Below are 3,646 nucleotides of genomic sequence, written 5' to 3'. Positions count from 1 at the left end.
ATGTACCCTGACTGGTTCGGCGTCTGCAGAAAGAAAAGTCGGATGTGATTCAGTGGCCATATTTTAAGAACACTCTGTCAATGACAGTTGGAAACATATGTTTTTTATAAATTTCTCATTCCAAAACAAAGACTGACAGTAAAGCCCAGGGCTTTGATATTTATATAAATTGTTAAGTGGTTCACTGGGGAAAGTACATTTCAATTAGCATGTCACTGCTCATCATGCAGGCTTCAGGAAAGGCGTTCTGATTAAGCTGGCTGTTCAGCAATACATCAAAAATTGGGGCTTACCTGAGAGCTGTTCCCTTCAAGGCCAATGGCATCATCTGATGCCCAGCTGATTTTCTGCGTTTTCATTTAAGATCAAATGAGACATTCAAAATCCTACTTTAAACTGCATCAATTCAAAAAATCACTCCATTTTAGTTCAATAAACAGGAGCCAAGCAACTGCTCGTTGGAGGGCACCGGGCTCGGTGATGTACAGAAGAGCTCTGAGTCAGCCCTCAGTAAGTCCTGGCTTCTTAGTGGCTATGATCTGGGATCGTTCTTGATATAAATAATGTTGGTTATCAATTTTTTACAGCTATTTCTGGTTTTGTGTTCTTTTGGGGGAGAAGACGTGAGCTATAGTCAAAACCAAATGAAACAAACTGCCTCTGCTTGTGGCTTTACAAAACTACAATTCTGCATGCTTCAAATAATATATTTTTTTCTCAGAATCTCTTCCCGTTCATCTTTTTAGGCTGAGATTATGTTCATAAGCTATAGGTAAACCAACAACTCATCACTCAAAAGTCTTGCTGGTAGATATTCTTCCCCCCTCTCTTTTCTGTACTCTGCTGCCGCCCTTAGGACAACATTATAAGTTAGGAGGTTTTCTGTTGGGTTTTGTTTTTGATGTGTCACTGTTTGCATCTAATTAGCTAGTGCAGATATCCTAAAGATTGATGGTACAATTTTGTTCAATTCAATCCAGGGGAACATTCCTATCTCTCCCAGCCTGAAGAGTTCGGGAAAAACTAAGACACCAAATTTGTCCCCTATCTACCCAATTTAGTAGTTGTCATCGTCAATTAGTCAAGAGAGAAATAATTACCCATGGCTGGCTTGAATTTGGGAACAAAGTCTCGTTGGCAACAACAACAAAAAAAGGGAACAAGAGAACAATCAGTTCATATGAGAAATGTGAGGTGAGTAGGTGGTAGGGTTATAGGACACAGGGCAGGTCTACACCCAAAATATCTCTGACTCATGTCTGAAATTCTGCCATTTGTGATTCATCCCTTTGTGTTGTACATTGCTCTCTTCCTGGATTTGTTTTAAAATATCCAAAGTCCAAGAAAGGTAACAAAAGCAGTTTCTAATTCAACCAATGTATGTTTATTGAGCCTGTTCTATGGATCAAGTGTGATATTTCAAAAAGAAATAAGATACAAGATTTCTTGTATCTTGCTCACCTCGCAAGATACAAGAAGTCTCATATCTTAGAAGGCACTCTCCTGACACCCCACCCCTTTAATTACCACTCTCCTCCTTCCTTTCTTACGCAAGCACATTGAGAGTTTACCTTCTCTAACTCTGCTCCCACGCATTACATTTATTTCCCCACCTTCAGTCTCCTTCCCTTACCAGTTCTATGAAGGAGGTCACCAGGGACTTTCTAATCCCCAAATCCATCATTTTTTCTGTCCATATCTTATGTAATCTCCCTAGAGGGGAGATCTCCTTTTCCAAACACTTCTTTTTCAGAACTCTCCTCTCTTGGTTGCTCGCACTAACTCCTCTTCTTTTACTTCTTTTCAGATGTTGGTGGACTCTAGGGTTCAGTCCTTTGGCCTCTTGCCCTTATTCTATTCAAAGGTTTTCAACCAGGGGTGAGGATGTCCCCCAGGGACATTTTGCAATGTCTGGAGACATTTTTTTGGTGGTCACAACTTGGAAGGGGAAATGCTACTGGTATCTAGTGGGTAGAGGCCAGAGGTGTTGTTAACTATCCTGCAATGCACAGGCAAATCTTCTGCAATAAAAACTGCCCCATCCAAAATGTCAATAGTGTCAAGAGTGAGAAACCCTATTCTATGCTATTGCTAAGTGGCATTGCTCCCATGCATGGTTTCTGTCACCACTCCTGTGCAGCTATCACTCAAAGCATTATTTTTGAACAACATGGAGAGAACAGAAGCTCAGAGCCACACAACCAGCGGGCCATAGCTATTTCTACCTATGGGTCCCACAAGCACCAGGCAGTGAAGTGAACAGAGCAAAAGCTGAGCTCATCTTCTTCTCTTACAAAGCATCTCTTAATTGATGATGGTATCCAGTCCCCCAGACTTGAACCCTGGGAGTTTAACTCACCTCTTTCCTTCCTGATCACTAAGTCCTTCTGATTCTACCTCCTAAGCAGCTCTCAAATCACTGCCTCCATAACCACTACTTTGGTTCAGGCCCTTCTCATTATCATTTGCACTCAAAATAGACTTGGAACTGACATTTAGTCTCCAGACTCACACCCCTGCCATCCACCCCTTACACATAAGCAGACAGGTTTTCTATAACCTCCTTCATCACCACCTTATATCTTCTTCACATGAAGTTAATTATCACAATGCCTGATGTTTACTGAGTCTTGTTCTAGGTGCTTTATATGAATTCTGTATTTATCTCACTTACAGGATGGGGCTGTTATCATACCCATTTTATAGATGGGAAAGTCAAAATTGGGGAAAGCTTATTAACTCAGGTATGATCACATAACTATATGTGGCAGAGTAGAGGTTTAAGCCTACAAGTGTCTATTTCAAGCCTAACATCCATAATGACCATGTACTACTCTCCCAGATGTCTTCATGATGGACATATTCTCCTATAGGAGAGGAGTAACTGAACATATCACATATAGTGGAGTGCTAATCTAGCATAAACTAATTTATTCTCAGGTATCTGTCGTCCTTGTTCATACTTCTATTATAGCCCTTACTACACTGTGGGTTTTGTTTGTTTAATTCAAATAAATTGCAAAATATGTATTAAATTCATATTTAATACATAATAAATATGTAAATATAAACATATTTATATCCACACACATATTACAGATTAAACATATAACCTGCACTTAACGCTGAGGGCTTATAGTCAAGTCCCTACACAGAGATGTAACTGACTGGCCTGAATGTAGATCCTTTGGGTGCCAATCCAGAGTTCTTACTATAATAAAGTGGCTCATCAGGACAACTTCACTGACTTTTCAGGTTTTCCAAAAATTAATCTAGGCTTTGCACAGACAATTCCTAATTCTCAAACTTCTGATTGGTAAAGCAAAAATAGTTAGAGCTGACAATAGTCACTGTCTTCAATTACTCTCCTTCCAGTATCTCTTGAGCCTGCCCCAATCAAGCCTCCATCCTCTCCCTCCACCATCACTACCTTATTCAAGGCCATGCTTTCAATCCAACAGTCTCCATTTTACTTGATTTAGCAGTAGCATTTGACCTAAAAGTTCAGATGCCCTAAATGGGAGACATACAAAATACAGAAAACCTGCACCATATCCACTAGATCTTACAAAAGCAAGAAACAAACTTTTATTGTGTTAAGCCACTGTGATTTCAGGGTATGGCAGGCAGAATAATGGCCCTCCAG

The 3,646-nt window shown here is 40.1% G+C and overlaps 1 annotated feature.

Annotated features, from left to right (window-relative positions):
* Positions 259–1,458: an enhancer, noted in NCBI's record as "CDK7 strongly-dependent group 2 enhancer chr2:119188381-119189580 (GRCh37/hg19 assembly coordinates)". NCBI's record gives its function as "activates an origin of replication core promoter dependent on BRD2, BRD4, P300/CBP, MED14 and CDK7 cofactors, with strong dependence on CDK7, by STARR-seq in HCT116 cells {active_cell/tissue: HCT116}" and the evidence as "EXISTENCE:reporter gene assay evidence [ECO:0000049][PMID:35650434]".

This window comes from Homo sapiens, chromosome 2, assembly GCF_000001405.40.
Source record: "Homo sapiens chromosome 2, GRCh38.p14 Primary Assembly".
NCBI lineage: Eukaryota > Metazoa > Chordata > Mammalia > Primates > Hominidae > Homo > Homo sapiens.
This window is presented reverse-complemented; position numbering and strand designations above follow the sequence as displayed.